Below are 19,242 nucleotides of genomic sequence, written 5' to 3' on the forward strand. Positions count from 1 at the left end.
GTCTCTCACTTTGTTAGCCCATAAAGTCTAGAAATGGGCATTTCTGATATTTCCCATACAAATCTTCAAGTCACTACCCAGAACTGCCATGAAGTTAAGCAATACAAATAAGGTAGGCCTGCTGGAGTGCTGCTTGCTAGGGTATGTGATGGGGTGCAGTGAAATGGTCAGGCTTTAACACCAGACAGAATCCTCTGCTGGATTCCAGGCTCCACCACTTAAAGGGTTTGGCTCTGACCAAATTGCTTAATCTCTCTGAACCTTGATTCTTCCTTTTGTAATACGTGGGAGGAAAAATGACTCTCAGGGTTATTGTGAGGACTAATCATAATATTTCTGGTATGGTAGGCTGGTAGTTGCAACAAAAGAGCAATTATTATTGCAGTTTGGAGGAGGTAGTTCTCTCCTTCACAAAATTTTTGCAAACTATAATGTATCTGAAGCTGCTAGTTGCCCGCAATATCCTTTTTCCCCATCTTTCTCTAATAATAAAACAACAACAGTTTTGGCTGGCAGGTGGCCACCAGCTAAGAACTATATTTCCTTTTTCTCTTGAGGTTGGATGGTCATGTGGCCATGCGGCTAACTGCTGGCCAATGGAATATGAGGGGAGGTGCTATATGCAACCTCTGAGTCATGTACTTTAAAGAAAACAACATTTCCTTTCCCATTCCCATAGCACTCATCTTCCCTGTTATGGGTTGAATTGTTAAAGTCCTAACCCCTACTACCTCAGGGTATGACTTTATTTGGAAATAGAGTTGTTACAGATTTAATTAGCTATGCTAAAATAAGGTCATTAGGGTGGGCCCTAATCCAGTATGACTGAGGTCTTCATATAAAGGGGAATTTTGGACACAGAAATGGACACATGTTGAAAGAAGATGATGTGAAGGGACACTGGGAGAAGCTGGCCATCAGCCATCCACAAGCCAAGGAGAGAGGTGTGGGACAGAACCCTCCTTCACAGCCCTTAGAAGGAACCAACCCGGTTGATACCTTCAGACTTCTAGACTCTGAAACCGTGAGACAATAAATTTCTGTTGTTAAGCCACCTAGTTTGTGGTACTTTGTTATGGCAACCCTAGCAAACTCATACAGCAAGTAAGCCAAGAAGACAGGAGAGTGTCTTTGAGAGGTGGGGTGGGGGGCAGGGGGAGAGAGAAAGAGAGAAAGAGAGAGAGAGAGAGAGAGAGAGAGAGAGAGAGAGAGAGAGAGAGAGAACCAGTAAGACAAAGTCACAATCTTTTATAATTCATTAAAAAACTGACATCCTCTCACTTTTGCTGTATTTTATTTGTTAGAAGCAAATCACTAGGTTCAGCCCACACTCAAGGGAAGGGGATTGCTTAAGGGCCTGAACACTAGAAGGCAGGGATGATTGGGAACCATTTTAGAAGATTCCCCACCAGGCTCATTAGTTGGTTAATTTCTAGTATACCTAAAGCTGATCTTAAAAAATTGAGACAAAAAGTAGAAACAAATTGAGAAAGTACATTCTTGAAATAAACAAAATTGATGTTTCCTGATATGTATGTTATTTTATTTTTTAAATTTTATTTCTTTTCTTTTCTGTTTTTGAGATGGATTCTCTCTCTGCTGCCCAGGTGGGAGTGCAGTGGTGGGATCTTGGCTCACTGCAACCTCCGCCTCCCAGGTTAAAGCGATTCTCCTACCTCAGCCTCCCAAGTAGCTGGGATTACAGGTGTGTGCCACCACACCCTGGCTAATTTTTGTATTTTCAGTAGACGGGGTTTCACCATGTTGGCCAGGCTGGTCTCGAACTCCTGACCTCAAGTGATCCACCCACCTTGGCTTCCCAACATCCTCCTGCTGGGATTACAGGCCCACCACTGTGCCTGGCCTTGATATATATTTTAAGTGTCCACATGTGGCAGCTAGACTCCAAAGATGACCTCCAATGAATCTTACCTCCTGGTATACAGTCCCTTCCCAAATGGAATCTGCCAACTTGTTTTAATTAACTGAATGTGGCACAAGACCTGGCAGCTTCCATGTTTGTACTTTTGGGAACCCTGAGTCACCATGAAAAAAGTTTGGCTACTCTACTAGAGATAGTATGGGAAGAGACCACATGGAGAGGAAAAGACTCTGAGATATGGAGAAAGACTAGATCCTGTGATCCCAGCACCCTGTGGGGCTCAACTTTCCTGTCATCCCCACAAAGTGCTAGATATGGGAGTGCAGCCATCTTGGACTTTCCAGTCCCAACCATCTGACTGTACCCACATAAAAGACTTCAAGTGAGACCAGTATAAGAACTGTCCAACTGAGCCCCAGCTAACCCAGAAAATTTTGAGAAATAATAAATTACTGTTGTTTTAAAGCACTAAATTTTAAGATGGTGAGTTAGACGGCAATATATAATTCAAATACCAGTTAACGAATACATAAACATGTGTTCAGTGCCTCCTCCATGCTATGCTCCTACTTTCTCACACATCATATCGCTTAATCTCTCAACAGTCTTATGAGGTCATGACTACGCATATCAATGCACAGACAATCTGTTGTCTCTTGGTGGTTGGCATGATACACCCAGGAATGGAGCAATATTGCAGACATCTAAATTTTATTACTCCTGCTTCTTCTAATATCTTTACCTGTTTACATACTCAGGAATTTATGGCACCTGGGTTAATAATAAGACAGCTGCCAATGTATTGTGTCCTAGATCACTCAAATGGATCAGGATCTCCCTTCTCCTTCTGAGTTATGTTGCACTGGGTCACTGGGTCACTGGGCCACTGGGCTAAGCACCTTCTTGAGAAGGTCTGATTTTCCATTCACAGAATATGAATCCCATGTCCTCTGGATGTATTCCAGAGTTCTTTTTCTTCCTTTATCTCTCTTTCTCTCTCTTTTTTTTTTTTTTTGAGACAGAGTCTTGCTTTGTTGTGCATGGTGGAGTGCAGTGGCGTGACCTCGGCTCACTGCAACCTCTGACTCCTGGGTTCAAGCTATTCCCTTGCCTCAGCCTTCTGAGTAGCTGGGATTACAGGCACCCACCACCATGACCAGCTAATTTTTGTATTTTTAGTAGAGATGGGGTTTCACCACATTGGCCAGGCTGGTCTCAAACTCCTGACCTCAAGTGATCCACCCCCTTTGGCCTCCCAAAGTGCTGGGATTACAGGAGTGAGCCGCCATGCCTGGCTTCTTTCTCTCTTTCTTTTCTCCTTCTTCTTTTTTCTTAATCTGCTTAAGTTGTCAAAGTTTAATATATATGGAGGAACATATAAGTTACAGCCTGATTAATTTAGTTGTATAACTACACCTATATCAAGCAACAGAACATTACTAGCATCCCCAAATGCCCATCTCTTCCCTCCTTCTAGTCACTACCTTCTCCCCAGAGTAACCATTATCTTAACCAACAGCATAGCTTAGTTTCACCGGTTTTTGTACTTTATATTTATAGAAACGTGTGGAATGGATGATTCCAGCCTCCAAAATTGTCCCCAGTGATCCTCGACTTCTGGTGTTCATGCCATTGTGTAGTCCCCACCCACATGGTATCAGATTTGGTCTGTATAACCTACAGAGACAGGATAAGTCACTTCTAATGCTAGGTCATAAAAATTCTGAGGCTTTCTCCTTTTGCTGTCTCTTGGATCACTTTCTCTGAGGGATTCAGATGCTATGTTGTGAGAATACTCAGACAGCTCATGGAGAGACCCACATGAGGCCTCCTTCTAACAACATGTGAGTGAGCCATCTGAGAGGGGAATCCTTCAGCCCCAGTCAAGCCTTCAGATGCCTGCTGCCCCTGCAGACATTCTAACTGCAACTTCATGAGAGAGCCTGAGCCAAAACCATCCAGCTGAGCCACTCCCAAATTCCTTATCCACAGACACTATGAGATAATAAATATGTGTTGTTTTAAGTCGCTAAGTTTTGGGGTAACTTATTATACATTAATGGATAACTATCTCAGTCTGTTTATGTTATAAAGGAATAGCTGAGGCTGAGTAATTTATAAAGAAAAGAGGTTTAGTTGGCTCACCATTTTGCAGGCTGTACAAGAGCACAAGCATCTGCTGCTTTTGAGGATTTCAGGCTGCTTCCACTAATGGTGGAGGGCAAAGGGGAGCCAGTGTGGATCACATGGTAAGAGAGGAAGCAAGAGAGTGGGGGAGGTGCCAGGCTCTTTTTTTAACAACCTGCTTTCCAGATTAGTAACAGCATGGGAACTTATTCAGTACCACAAGGATGGCACCAAGCCATTCATGAAGGATCTGCCCTAATGACCCAAACACCTCCCATTGGGCTCCTCCTCCAATATTGGGGATCTAATTTCAATATGAGTTTTGGGGGGCAAACATAGCTAACTGTAGCAATAACTAATACTGGCTCATTTGTATCTGGTCTTGTTCTATCAGCATTATGCTTGTGAGATACATCTGTATTATTTCATGAGTCGTTGAAGAGGACTCGTGTCCTTTAGACATCCTTTCTCATTAACACAATTATATTCTTTTTGTTTTGTTTGTTTGTTTGCTTGAGACAGAATCTTGCTTTGACACCCAGGCTGGAGTGCAGTGGGGCAATCTCAGCTCACTGCAACCTCCGCCTCCCAGGTTCAAGGGATTCTTCTGCTTCAGCCTCCTGATTAGTTGGGATTACAGGTGTGTGCCACCATGCCCAGCTAATTTTTGTATTTTTAGTAGAGATGGGGTTTCTCCATGTTGGTCAGGCTGGTCTCAAACTCCTGACCTCAACTGATTCACCCACCTTGGGCTCCCAAAATGCTAGGATTACAAGGGCGAGCCACCATGCCCAGCCAAATGTTATATTCACTATATGCATATAATATTTTGAATTTATCCATTCTACTGTTGATGGACACTTAGGTAGTTTCCAGTTTGGGGGCTGCTATGAACATTCTTTTTTTTTTTTTTTAGAGCTGTTATCTGACTTTATTTTATTTTTTGAGACAGAGTCTTGCTTTGTTGCCCAGGCTGGAGTGCAGTGGTATGATCTTTCCTCACTGCAAACTCTGCCTCCCAGGTACAAGTGATTCTCCTGCCTCAGCCTCCCGAGAACCTGGGATTACAGTTGCACTCACCACCACGCCCGGCTAATTTTTGTATTTTTAGCAAAGATGGGGTTTCGCCATGTTGGCTAGGCTGGTCTTAAACTCCTGACCTCAGGTGATCCACCCACCTCGGCCTCCCAAAGTGCTGAGATTACAGGCGTGAGCTACCATGCCCAGCCTGAACATTCTTATACGTGTGTTTTGGCGAACATATTCACTTAACTAGATATTATTAATACCCACATGTGGAATTTCTGGGTCATAGCATAGGTATATGACTAGATAGTGAAGACAGTTCTCCAAAATGATTTTATTAATTTGCACCTCCTCTCACACACATAAAAGTTCCAGTTGCTCCACATCCTTACTAACGCTTGATTTTTGTGTGTGTGTGTGTGAGATGACGTCTCACTCTTTTGCCCAGGCTGGAGTGCAGTGGCGTGATCTCGGCTCACTGCAACCTCCGCCTCCCTGGTTCAAGTGATTCTCCTGCCTCAGCCTCCCGAGTAGCTGGGATTACAGGCATGTGCCACCACGCCCGGCTAATTTTGTATTTTTAGTAGAGACGGGGTTTCTCCATGTTAGTCAGGCTGGTCTTGAACTCCCAACCTCAGATGATCCACCTGCCTCGGCCTCCCAGAGTGCTGAGATAACAGGTGTGAGCCACCACACCCGGACTAACACTTGATATTTTTATCTTTTAAATTTTAGCCCTTCTGATTGGTCCAGGGTAACTCTCCAAGTAAAGAATCAACAGGGCATCATCTCCTTTCTTCATCTTTTATAATCTCCAAGGCCACTATGTTCCCACATTCTTTCCAAAACTGACTTTTCTCACAGATTGTGCCATTTGTCTTCACTGTGGCCTGCGTTTAGCAAAGTTGGTCTTCCAGAAGCCGTTTCTCCTGTCCTACCTACTGTGCAAAGAAGGTTTTTTAACACACTGATGCATATAATTATGGCCTGGAAGAAAAATGAGCAGAAATAGAGATATGTCTATCTTATAGACAGGCTGAGGGCATGAAAAGTCTGATATTAGGAAAAGCTTGGAAACACTGGAGCCCAGTCACACTGGCTTAATTTAACATAGTTTCCTAGGCCAGGTCTTGGCAGAATTTAACCCTCAGTAGCCTTCTCATTTTTCAGTAGAAGTTGGTCATCTCAAGAGTGCATGACTGCTCTGTGGTGTTTTGTTTTCATTGTAATTGAGCAAATAAGATGTCACTTGCCTACATATATTTATCAATAAATATTTACTGAGTGCCTACCATGTGCTAAACACTGGATGAAGAAAGGAGATGCTGTACTGTTTTGATAAGTTTATATGGAGGTAGAATGGCAAGTATAGAGGCTGCAATATGCCAGTTAATCAGTTATCTGTCAGGAATAGTGAGGAAGAGCATAAGCATGGCATTAGGATGGAATGAGCTTGGAGTCACCCACATTTACCAGAGGGAAACAATGATTTTATCATTGTAAAAACAGTGTGCTAGAATTGTCAAAAGAACATCGAATTAGCTATGTAATTGTGAAACATATACCATAGTTCTATTTATTCTGTGATAGTATAAAAATTCAAGGCTGGGTGCAGTGGCTCACGCCTGTAATCCCAGCACTTTGGGAGGCCAAGGCGGGCGGATCACGAGGTCAGAAGTTCAAGACCAGCCTGACCAACATGGTGAAACCCCATCTCTACTAAAAATACAAAAATTAGCTGAGTGTGATGGTGCACGCCTGTAATCCCAGCTACTCAGGAAGCTGAGGCAGGAGAATCGCTTGAACCTAGGAGGTGAAGGTTGCAGTGAGCCGAGATCGAGCCACTGCAATCCAGCTTGGGCGACAGAGTGAGACTCTGTCTCAAAAAAAAAAAAAAAAAAAATTCAGATCTCACAGGGATGCGTACTAATACTACATTTAGGTCATCTTTGTCCTCCTCTCATTCTCTAGTTAAGCTTCAAAGAATGAGTGAAGCATTTTAGATTGTCTGCTAGCCATCCCAATTTAGATTGAAATAGTGAAGTTTAATGGCATTACCCAGAAAATCCATTTTCTACAAAATGAAAGATCTTTTTCTTTTCTTTTTTTTGAGATGGACTTTCACTCTATTGCCCAGGCTGGAGTGCAATACTGCGGTCTCAGCTCACTGCAACCTCCACCTCCCAGGTTCAAGCAATTCTCCTGCCTCAGCCTCCCGAGTAGCTGGGATTACAGGTGCCTGCCACCATGCTCAGCTAATTTTTTGTATTTTTAGTACAGAAGGTGTTTCACCATGTTGTCCAGGCTGGTCTCAAACTCCTGACCTCGTGATCCACCCACCACGGTCTCCCAAAGTGCTGGGATTACAGGCGTGAGCCACTGCGCCCAACCAATAGTCTTCCTATTAAAAGGAGTAAAAATGCCACTGCACTCCAGCCTGGGGGACAGAGCGAGACTCTGTCTCAAAAAAAAAAAAAAAAAAAAAAAAAAGGAGTAAAAACTCATCTACCAATCCAGGGTAGCCAGAAACAGAAGCACCCATCAGAAACAGACAGAAAGCTAAAAAAAAAAAAAAAAAAAAAAAAAAAGCCATTGCCAACTGATAGAAAAGTCATTGCCCACTTTTAGGGATCTGGAGGCAGACATTTTGAACTCATTTTGAAGGGCACAGCCCTCCCCAGCAATGCAGTTGACGTGAATGCTGTTACTTAAAAATCTTAGAACTATAAAGAGCTTCATATGCACAAGTGGTCATCTCAAGATTTCAAGTGACTGATAAAGGCAAGAATAGTAGGCTATATAAAGAACTTGGGGCCGGGGATGGTGGCTCATGCCTGTAATCCCAGCACTTTGGGAGGCTGAGGCGGGCGGACCCCGTCTCTATCAAAAATATAAAAAATTAGCCGGGTGTGGTGGTGTGTGCCTGTAATGCCAACTACTCGGGAGGCTGAGGCGGGCGGACCCCGTCTCTACCAAAAATATAAAAAATTAGCCGGGTGTGGTGGTGTGTGCCTGTAATGCCAACTACTCGGGAGGCTGAGGCAGGAGAATCGCTTGAGCCTGGGAAGCAGAGGTTGTGGTGAGCTGAGATTGTGCCATTGCACTCCAGCCTGGGCAACAAGAGCGAAACTCTGTCTCAAAAAATTGAAAGGGCTCCTATGATTAAGTCACTATCACATGGATAATTTCCCTATCTTAAGGTCAACTGATTTGTGACCTTAATTACATTTGCAAAATAACTTCACTGCAGCACCTAGATTGGTGCTTGGGAGGTATGTCTATACCAGGGCAGAAAATTTAGGGGTCATCTCAGAATTTTTCCGACTACATTGGTTTTCAATTTTGAAATCTACCTTAGATTCTAGACCAGTTGTTTTCAACTGGGGTTAGAGGAGATTTTTATACCCCTCCCCAGGGGACATTTGGCAATATCTTCAGACATTTTTGGATGTCATCTGGTGGGTAGAGGCCAGAGATACTACTAACCCACCTAGAGTACATGGGAGAGCCCCCCACAACAAAGAATTATCAGCCCAAGATGTCAGTAGTGCCAGGATTGTGAAACCCTGCCCTAAGCAAAACAGGAAAGACAATTATTACTATAGTGCAGAGTTAGAATTATCAACATCAGATATGTAAATGTAAAAGTATAGCTGATGTGACATAACATAGGAGGATAGTGTCATAAGACCAACAGGTTCATACACCCACTGTGCAGTAACAGACTGATACATTGAGACAGCAGAGTTTGCAGCAGAGAGTTTAATGATTACATGGTGCTGAGTCAGGAGGTAGGAGGAGATTCTTAAATCTCTGAAGAGTTCTGGGCTGGGGTTCTGGGAGGCAAGGGGCTGGAAAATTTGGGCCACTGATTGGTCAGGGTAAGGGAGATTGAATCATTAGGATATGGAAATTGCATTCTTTGATGATTTAGCTTCTGGTAGGGTCCTTCAGACCAGCTGACATCAGTAGTTTCATCAGTATGCAGGACCTGAAAGAATGTCTCGAAGGGAAAACTTAGCATTTCATAATGTTCAAGCTGTTATCTATAGAGCAGTTAAGGGGAACTATAATCTTGTAACAGACTCCACATAATTCTGAAGCAATAGCCAAACAACTATGAGGAAGGGGTCAGCAAGCAAAGTGACCTAGTGATTAATGCTGAATGTGGTGCAAGCTTGGATTATTTATGTTTCTCACCCTCTCTTCTTCTCTGATTAATTTTATAAAGTTTATAGGAACAGTTTCAATAGGAGGAAAAGGAAAGGAGTATGGAGTACTATGTACATCTTACATAAAGCCTAATACGTAGGCCAGGTGCAGTGGCTCATGCCTGTAATCCCAGCACTTTGGGAGGCCAAGGCAGATGGATCACTTGAGATCAGAAGTTTGAGACCAGCCCAGCCAACATGGTGAAACCCCGTCTGTAACAAAAAATACTAAAACTAGCCAGGCGTACTGGCGCACACCTGTAATCCCAGCTACTTGGAAGGCTGAGGCACGAGAATCCCTTGAACCCGTGAGGCAAAGGTTGGGGTGAACTGAGATCCTGCCACTGCCCTCCAGCCTGTGTGATAGAGTGAGACTCTGTATCAAAAAAAAAAAAAAAAAGAAAGAAAGAAAGAAAAAAGAAAAAGTTATTTTAAAAAGACTAATAAATGGAAGACAAGTATATTATTGAAAGTTACAGAGATAAAGAAAAATAATTGTAATGAAACATCAAGCACTGGGATGAGGAGAAAGAAGGGAAGAGATAAGCAAAGAAATGATACTTTAAGCGTTTCATTTGAAATCACAGAAGTAACCACTAGAACTTAAACTTTTTTTTTTTTTTTTTTTTTTTTTTTTTTTTTGAGACGGAGTCTCGCTCTGTCGCCCAGGCTGGAGTGCAGTGGCGCAATCTCGGCTCACTGCAAGCTCCGCCTCCCGGGTTCACGCCATTCTCCTGCCTCAGCCTCCCAAGTAGCTGGGACTACAGGCGCCCGCCACTACGCCCGGCTAATTTTTTGTATTTTTAGTAGAGACGGGGTTTCACCGTTTTAGCCGGGATGGTCTCGATCTCCTGACCTCGTGATCCGCCCGCCTCGGCCTCCCAAAGTGCTGGGATTACAGGCGTGAGCCACCGCGCCCGGCCAGAACTTAAACTTTTTAAAGGATTAAGAAAGCTAGGTGCAGTGGCTCATGCCTGTAATCCTAGCACTTTGGGAGGGTGAGATGGGAGGATCGCTTAAGCCCAGGAGTTCAAGACCAGCCTGGGCAACATAGTGAGACCCTGTCTCTACAGAAAATAATAATTTTTTAAAAATAGCCAGACATGGTGGCACATGCCTGTAGTCCCAGTTACTAGGGAGGCTGAGGTAAAAGGATTGCTTGAGCTCAAGAGGTCAAGATTGCAATAAGCCCAGATTGCTCCACTGCACTCCAGCCTGGGCAACAGAGCAAGACCCTGTCTCAAAAAAAAGGATTACAAGATGTTGCCTCAAGGATAGGTCTAGGAGTAGGGAGGATAGGGTGGGAGGATGTTATTTTTATTATAAATTCTGCTGTACTTTTGATTTTTTAAATCGCACACCTATATTACTTCAATAAAAATGTAACTTTTCAAAAAGAAAACTTAAAGGATTAACGAGGTGATTTACTCATAATACAGTAACTCATGATATAGTAACAGTATTTACTCTTAGTACAATAATAGTACATAGTACAGTAACAGTGATACAATAATGTTTTACTAAGCACATGCAATAACCTGTAAAATGTAATTTCTTTAAGAATCTGGTTTTGGCCGGGCGCGGTGGCTCACGCCTGTTATCCCAGTACTTTGGGAGGCCGAGGTGGGTGGATCACAAGGTCAGGAGATTGAGACCATCCTGGCCAACATGGTGAAACCCTGTCTCTACTAAAATACAAAAAAATAGCCAGATGTGGTGGTTCGCACCTGTAGTCCCAGCTACTTGGGAGGCTGAGGCAAGGGAATTGCTTGAACCCAGGAGGCAGAGATTGCAGTGAGCCGAGATTGCACCACTGCACTCCAGCCTGGTGACAGAGCAAGACTCCATCTCAAAAAAATAAAAATAAAAATAAAAATAAAAAAAATCTGGTTTCCCAGGCACACTATCTTCAGACAAAGTTCAATTATTTGCGTGGCAGAAAAATCAGTTTTTAAAATATATCATGTAAACCTACTGTCATTCATAGCTGCCCAACAATTGTGTAGAATTGCAGATCGATCTAGTAAGAAGAAATAAAATGGAAAATAATTCAAGTTGTTAGTTGAAAGAATTAGACACCAGTGTTTTGGTATCTTAACTTTTATTAATGTTGGTTATCACGGTTAATTAATTTAAAATGGAAAATAATTCAAGTTGTTAGTTGAAAGAATTAGACACCAGTGTTTTGGTATCTTAACTTTTATTAATGTTGGTTATCACGGTTAATTAATTTAAAATTGTGGTTTATTAATATTTTAAGTTACTCTCATATTATATTTTATTAATTTTTTCTTATTTAAAAAGCTTGTCTCTGCCACTTCCTGTGTGACCTGGGCAAGTCATTTTACCTCTAAGAGCCTCAAATTTCCTCATCTATAAAGTGGAAATATAAATACAAAGCTTGCAGAAATGTCAGGAAAATAAATAAATTAAATGCTAAATAGTCAATGAGGGATATTAGGCAAAGGCCAGTTTTGGTGGCATTTTAACCTATGGAGACTCAGTGCCTCTGTGTGTCCCATTATCACCTCCAAGACATCCTGGCAACACCACCGCTTGGGACTAGCCAGCAGGGAGGCCCAGGACACCTGCCACCTGATAAAGTGGCTCCTGCTCTCTATTGGCTTCTTATGAACACTACTGGGCTCTTACCTATCTATCTTGAAGCCTCTATGGACAAAAAAGAGGCCAAAAGAGGAATGGCACAATGGTATCAACTCAAACGTGTGAGCCCGGCATGGTGGCTCACGCTGGTAATTCCAGCACTTTGGGAGGCACAGGCGGGTGGTTCACTTGAGGTCAAGAGTTTGAGACCAGCCCGGCCAACGTGGGAAAACCCCGTCTCTACTAAAAATACAAAAATCAGCGGGGTGTGGTGGCTGGGCGCCTGTAATATCAGTTACTTGGGAGGCTGAGGCAAGAGAATCACTTGAACGCGGGAGGCGGAGGTTGCAATGAGCCGAGATTGTGCCACTGCACTCCAGCCTGGGCAACAGAGTGAGACTCTGTCTCAAAAAAAAACAACCAAACAACAACAAAAACGTGTGAGAAGGGTGGAATAGGAGCTAAAAGATGTAGGCTCCTTGTTTAGGCAGAGCGTAAAATCACCACACAGAAGGCCGAACTCTGGGCCCCTAACTAGTGCTGCTCCAAGAACTGACTGGGGGAGGCAAAAGGTTCTGGGCAGAAAGGCAGGCTTTTTGTTCTTTTCAGTATCAGAAAATTTCAATCCAAACAACGGTAGCTACTCAAACTAGACGTTTTGAAGTTATATTTAGTTTAAACTATTCTATTTAGAAAATAAACCCTAATATTTATGAACTCTAAATGACAAAATAAGTACACGAATTCACGTAGGAAATTCTTAACCAAAAACATTAAACCTGAATTTGATCACAAGAAAATAATTAGGCCAGGCACTGTGGCTCACACCTATAATCCCAGTACTTTGGGAGGCTAAGGTGGGAGGATCGCTTGAGCCCAGGAGTTTGAGATCAACCTGGGCAACATAGTGAGACCCTGTCTCTACAAAAAATAAACAAAATTAGCCAGGTGTGGTGGGTATGCACCTTGATCCCAGATACTCGGGAGGCTGAGGTGGGAGGATTGCTTGAGCCCTAGAAGTTGAGGCTTCAGTGAGCCAAAATCAAAATTGTGCCACTGCACTCCAGCCTGGAAGACACAGCAAGACCCTCCCTCAACAAAATAATTTTAAAAATTAAAAAAAAAAGACAGAGGAACTTTCTTAGATTGAAAGATATTAAAGAAAAATAACAATTATTTGCAATATGTATGTCAACCTTGATTGATTACTGGAGTGAAAAAAAAACTACATAAAATGCTCTCTAAATAGTTGGGAAAATTTGAATATGGAATATATTAGATGAAATTATTAATTTTTTAGGTATAAAACTGATAAGGTGATTATGTAGAAAAATGTCTTTATTTTAGGGTATGTCAAGTTATAACACCAAAAAGAAACTAGGGGTGAAGTGTCATGATTTTTGCAACTTATTTTCAAATGGTTTAGCAAAACAAGATATATTTTAAAAGTTATAATATTTTATATAGAAACACATACAAAGAGAGGAGAGAGAAAGCAAATGTGACACAATATTAACAATGATTAATATTGTGGTGAAAGATATATAGATGTTCATTGTACCATTCTTTTAACTTCTCTGTAAGTTTGGAAAACTATAATTAAAAAGTTGGGAGAAGTTATATCTATATGCTCCTCTTAAAATATTATATGAAGATATACACTATCATTATTATTATTATTTTTAGAGACAGGGTCTCATTCTGTCACCCAGGCTGCTCACTGCAACCTCAAACTCTCCCAGACTCAAGTGATCCTCCCACCTCAGCCTCCCATGTGGCTGGGATTATAGGCAAGTACTACCATGCCGGGCCAATTTTTTTTTTGTTTGTAGAAATGAGGTCTTGCTATGTTGCCCAGGCTGGTCTCAAACTCCTGGTCTCAAGTGATCCTCCTGCCTCAGCCTCCCGAAGTGCTGGGATAAAAGGTGTGAACCACCATACCCAGCCAGTATTATCTTTTCATTTCATTTTCCAGTTGAGTATATTATTGGCTACATTTGCATACCGCACAATTGTTCATTTTTTAAAAACCAATATTTTGTTTTGTTCTGTTGTCTACAATAAGGAGAATTCAGATGATAAACTTACAACCAATCATGGCCAAGTCCACTTGAGGAATTGTCTCTGTAGATTTATCTGTAGACTCTCTAATAAGGAGTTTTATGGCCGTATGTTTCGTGTTTCCCCTGATGTGCCCTGTTACTGTTCCTCTTGCCATGGTGTTTCTTCCTGTGGCAAACATTTCCTTTACCATTTTTCTTGGCAGCTTGCACTTTCATCCACTGCTTAACAGTATGGTTGTGCGGGCTGACACAGATTCTTCTGCGCTTGACATGAAGGCTGTTAGAAAAGGAAGCAAAAGAAAGTCACTGATATAAAACATATATAAATAATCACTTAGTGACTTACATGCAGCTCCCACTTTGGGACACTGTATTCCTAGAGACTAAATTCAGACTAAATTTCTGAATTAAGTGTAGAAATGAAGTGAATTCTAAAGCTGAGCACCACAAGGTTCAATTTTGACTTTACAAACACTGCTGCCTGTGGGTCCTCAGATATCATCAGAGAGTATTAAAAGAAAGAGAAGGAGAAGAAGGAATTGGATGAGGAAGAGAAGAAGGAGAAAAGGAGGGAGAAAAAAGAGGAAGAAGAAAAGGAGGAAAAGAGACAATAATAAAAACCAAGTGAACCCAACAAAACCAATTCATCCTCACAGCCCATCTCAAACACATCCTTAAGGTTTGTTTGAGATTTTTCTGATCCGTAAGGATTTGTAGATTCTCTCAGCTAGATGCCGTCTTTTTTCCCCTCTGATTCTCCACGGTGAGAGTTATCTCTTTTCTGGCACTTACTTTATTCTGTCTTTTATCTGAGTACTTGTCTCATCTTTCCTACTGGAGTTATGCTCCTTGAAGGAGGAATAGTCTAGAAGTGTCTTGAAAACGCCTTATTCAAAACTGAAACTAATTTAAAACTTAAACTTAATTTAAAACTTAAATTAACAAAACAAAACTAAGATATTCTAGGCATTTGTTAACATTTTAATATGATATAGATCTATGCCACAGTTCAGAATGTGCTTTCATTTTCATTTTTCTTTTCTTTTTTTTTGTTTTTGGTGAGATGGAGTTTTGCTCTTGTCACCCAGGCTGGAGTGCAATGGCATGATCTCGGCTCACTGCAACTTCCGTCTCCCGGGTTCAAGTGATTCTTCTGCCTCAGCCTCCCGAGTAGCTGGGATTACAGGTGTGCACCACCACACCTGGCTAATTTTTGTATTATTAGTAGAGATGGGGTTTTACCATGTTGGCCAGGCTGGTCTTGAACTACTGAACTCAGGTGATCCACTCGCCTCAGCCCCCGAAGTGCTGGAATTACAGACATGAGCCACTGCACCTGGCTCATTTTCATTTTTCTATATGAAGTTTTCACAGTGGGCTGGGAGAATGCTACAGCATGCACAGTTTCTGGTAACTAGAATAATTTTTTTTGTTGAAAAAGATATTGGTGACTTCTAATTTCCTCATGAGGGGTCATCAGCTCTTACCAAATGTCACAAATCCTGCTGGCTCTACATATATAGTATTTCCGTATCCAGATAAATTGAAACTTCTGACCCTGTTATTCAGGGAAAAAACAGAGGTGGGGTAGAGAATAAGCTGCTATTTTTCTAGATGACGCAAGTTGAATCTTTTTCAGCTAATGTAGGGACTACTGAAATGGGAGAAAAGTGGGGAGAATCGGGGGAAAGTTACAAATGAGCTTTAACATAATAAAGCCAGCATATGGGGAATATTAATTTGAAAGAAGTGGAGCATCTTAATAAGAGAATAATATATTCCCTATGTGTATTAGATAGAGAGTCTTAAAAAAAAACAAACAGCCTAATTCTCACTATGGTCAGTTGGTTTGCTATCATAGGAGAAAACGTGGCTGTAGCACTGTTGCGTAGGAAACAAAAACAAACAAACAAACAAACAAACAAAAATCTGGCACTGAAGCTCCTACCCTTTCCAGAGGACTAAAACTCTTGCCTCTCCCTGTGATGTCAGAAAGAAACTGAGCAGATAAAGATTTTAGTGACATGCAGGCTGGGCACGGTAGCTCACGCCTATAATCCCAACACTTTAGGAGGCCGAGGCAGGAAGATCACCTGAGGTCGGGTGATCGAGACCAGCCTGGCCAACGTGGTGAACCCCTGTCTCTACTACTAAAAATACAAAAATTAGCTGGGCATGGTGGCACGCACCTGTAATCCCAGCTACTTGGAAGGCTGAGGTAGGAGAATCGTTTGAACCAGGTAGGTGGAGGTTGTAGTGAGCTGAGATCATGTCACTGCACTCCAGCCTGGACAACAAGAGGGAAACTCCGTCTCAAAAAGAAAAAAAAGAGAAGATTTCTGTGACATGCAGATAAGCCCATAAGTTACACAGGAAAGACCTACGATTCAAGTCCATTATAAAAATAAGAGAGATGGGATTCAGGGAGGGGCATTGGCACCGGGGCTGAAGGAGAGAACCAGATGGAAGAGATATAGACAGAGGATTCAGAAAGGTGGAGGACCATAGGAAAACAGGCAACAACTAGCATGTGGGCTTTTTCAAAGACTTGCTGGTGAGGCAACCTCTCAATGTAATTCAACTGGGGAAAAAAATCAGCTACCAGAATACAGCTCCCAAATCTGAGATCCCATGATGTTTTAGAATCCTAAAGTTTAAAAACTTCTTAAATCTCTACTTGGATCCCATGTATTTTCCACCAGGATAGAAAGAGATGAAGTAATGTTGGAAACGGGGCTGGCCTATTCCACATTCCTTCCCCTACTCGCAATTCCATAGTATTCTGATGGGCACCAATCCCCACCTTCCCAACGGTGAGTTTGTAGGTGGAGAGTTTTGACTGTAAGAAATCCTGAGGCCAATCCCCCTTTTTTTTTTTCTTAACCCTCAGGAGGATAGCTGGAGATAGTCTGATGGACGTAAAGGGGTGGCCCTGCCATAGAGATTATACCTTTAATATCCCTTAAACTTTATTTCTTTACCCATTCCTCTAAACACAACAACGCCTCACAACCACATCTGAAAAACTACTCAAGCCTTCCAGATAATTCTATTTAAAAACCTCAAATTTTCTCACAACAAAAAATGTCTGTTTGATTCAAGAATCCTCAGGCCTCTGCCCAACATAAACAACTTTTTTTTTTTTTTTTGAGACGGAGTCACCCAGGCTGGAGTGCAGTGGCGCGACCTTGGCTCACTGCAGGCTCCGCCTCCCGGGTTCACGCCATTCTCCTGCCTCAGCCTCCCGAGTAGCTGGGACTACAGGTGCCTGCCACCATGCCCGGCTAATTTTTTTGTATTTTTAGTAGAGACAAGGTTTCACCGTGTTAGCCAGGATGGTCTCGATCTTCTGACCTCGTGATCCGCCTGCCTCGGCCTCCCAAAGTGCTGGGATTACAGGCGTGAGCCACCGCGCCCGGCCATGATAAACAACCTGTTATTGTATTTATGTTCAGAAACATTCAGAAGCTCATTAATGAAGTCACTGTAGAGGAGTTTGAACAAGAAAACTGCTGTCTCAGGCATCAAAAACTACAATGACCATTTATAAGGTATAAAACATAGGACCTATTTCTAGGCAGAAAAGAAAGAAGCCTAGTAAGTTTACCGTACGTTGACTTATATTAATTAATTGTTATTAGTAATACATGCTACTTGGGAATTACATTTCCAGTGTTAGCAATGCTTTCTGCATCTTAAACACTTTCTCAAATCTTAAAGTCTTTATACCCAGTCAGGGATAAGGGACTACATTTTAGATAAGTAAAGACATGCTCCATACTAAACTAATCTGAAAACAAGAGAATCTTTATCTATTCTTGTTGAACATCAGGAAACACAACAGACAGGATCTGTAATTTATGGTTAAAAAAATACTACAGAATTAAATTTAATTTTATTTGAGATTAGGTCATAACAACTCTGTATTTTTCAGCTTTCTTAGCACAGAGAGGTCAATTTACAAATTGTGCTTGAATAAAGTAAATATTTTTAGATCCAACTGATTGGCTTCCTAGTTCCTCTTTAATTAAAATTGAGTCCTTTTTAAAATGAAGACTTATGTTTCTGATTATATTTTCCCTTATCACAGCAAAACATCATTTCTGTTCCTATGCCTTTCAGATCTCTGACACCTGCTTATCCCAAAGAAACATCCCTGAAAATCCTGTTACCAATACCTTCCCTGGATAACCTCCAGAATCTCTTATACACCCACAGAAACTTCCTCTGTTTTTTTTCTCCAAGCCTTTCTGGGAGTCCTATTGGAGCCCTTACAAGCTTCAAGCTTCAAGTCTGAGGTGATATGTGCCAATAAGGTGGAAGGAATTGAGAGGAGTTGAAAATTTGGAGTTTCTCAGAGCAACTGGAGCAGGTTCAGACAGATTTAGTGCAGCTGTGTCCACTTGACACAAATATCCAGCTGTTTCTAACTACCTAGAGCATTGTCTATCCACGCATTGTCTATGAATTTTTTACTTTCCAACTATTACCAACAATATTCTTTAAGATTAAATAAAAGACTGGTAGAATCTTGGCCAGACATGTACCAAGGAATTTTTCAAAGAAGTTGGGAACTTGGAGCACCCCTCAGAATCCTCATTGGTATGTAGCCCCTGGAGTGCCACAGATGATGCTGGTTCCCAATGACTAAACCACCTGAGCCAATGGAGCCACGTGGTGGCTTGAACTGAGGAGATGCTGAGAAAATTCTCAGGCTTCTCCCTTCTCCCACAAAGACACTCATGCTTAATACAAGTTTGAATCAAGAATTGTTTCCTCCCCTACATCTGACCCTGAGTGTGACCTTTAAACTTTATTTGATCTCAGAAACTTTGAGAATCTTATAAAACCTATGGACCCTCTAAAAATGCTCACAGGTTCATACACAAAAATTTCAGGAAGTTCACAGCCCCTAACCTGATGAAAGTCTATCAACAGACATCTTACAAACTCTTCCTCTGAACTTTTAAGAACGCTTATCTTGGAGCAGTTTTTCCTCAAAATTGAATAATGGATAAATCCCTCTGAAAGGGGGGAAAATATATTTCAAATTCCAGAGATCATCTCAAATCATTAAGATGATCTGCAGAACCCAGCTGGATAAAGAGTCCCCTTGAGACTCTAGGCAGACAGAACCCATTTTGTCACCACTGCATCCCCAGCATATAGAACAGTGCTTGGTGCATAATTGTTAATTCATAAATATTTGTTGAATTCACTGAAAGAATAAGGTTTCTGAGTGACTCAGGAGCTCAGGCATAAGCAATGGGTTTATTTATAGCCCAAAGAAAGGAGCACCAAATGACTCACTAGCATCACCTGGAGCCAC

At 41.8% G+C, this 19,242-nt stretch overlaps 1 protein-coding gene across 11 annotated transcripts in view, besides 1 other annotated feature; it reads right to left on the minus strand.

Moving 5' to 3' along the window:
• CCL28 (C-C motif chemokine ligand 28) overlaps positions 1-19,242 on the minus strand; it is a 55,417-nt gene that overhangs the window by 10,888 nt on the left and 25,287 nt on the right. For 2 of the 11 annotated variants that reach the window (XR_925633.3, XR_007058610.1), the window contains exons 3-4: positions 13,939-14,190; positions 8,783-9,459 (exon numbers count right to left, since the gene is read on the minus strand). Coding sequence is in view for 4 of the 11 variants with exons in the window: in NM_001301874.2 (NP_001288803.1) it covers positions 13,998-14,190 (193 nt within the window). In the remaining 7 variants the exon portion in view is untranslated. Of the gene's footprint in view, positions 1-8,782; positions 9,623-10,649; positions 11,267-11,330; positions 14,191-19,242 lie in introns of those variants that run through there. The other 9 variants (XR_007058612.1, NM_001301874.2, XR_007058611.1 and 6 more) reach the window with 6 other exon arrangements.
• Positions 19,117-19,186: an enhancer, noted in NCBI's record as "active region_22538". NCBI's record gives its function as "activates an Ori minimal core promoter by ATAC-STARR-seq in GM12878 lymphoblastoid cells {active_cell/tissue: GM12878}" and the evidence as "EXISTENCE:reporter gene assay evidence [ECO:0000049][PMID:35858748]".

The sequence above is a fragment of the Homo sapiens genome, chromosome 5, assembly GCF_000001405.40.
Source record: "Homo sapiens chromosome 5, GRCh38.p14 Primary Assembly".
NCBI lineage: Eukaryota > Metazoa > Chordata > Mammalia > Primates > Hominidae > Homo > Homo sapiens.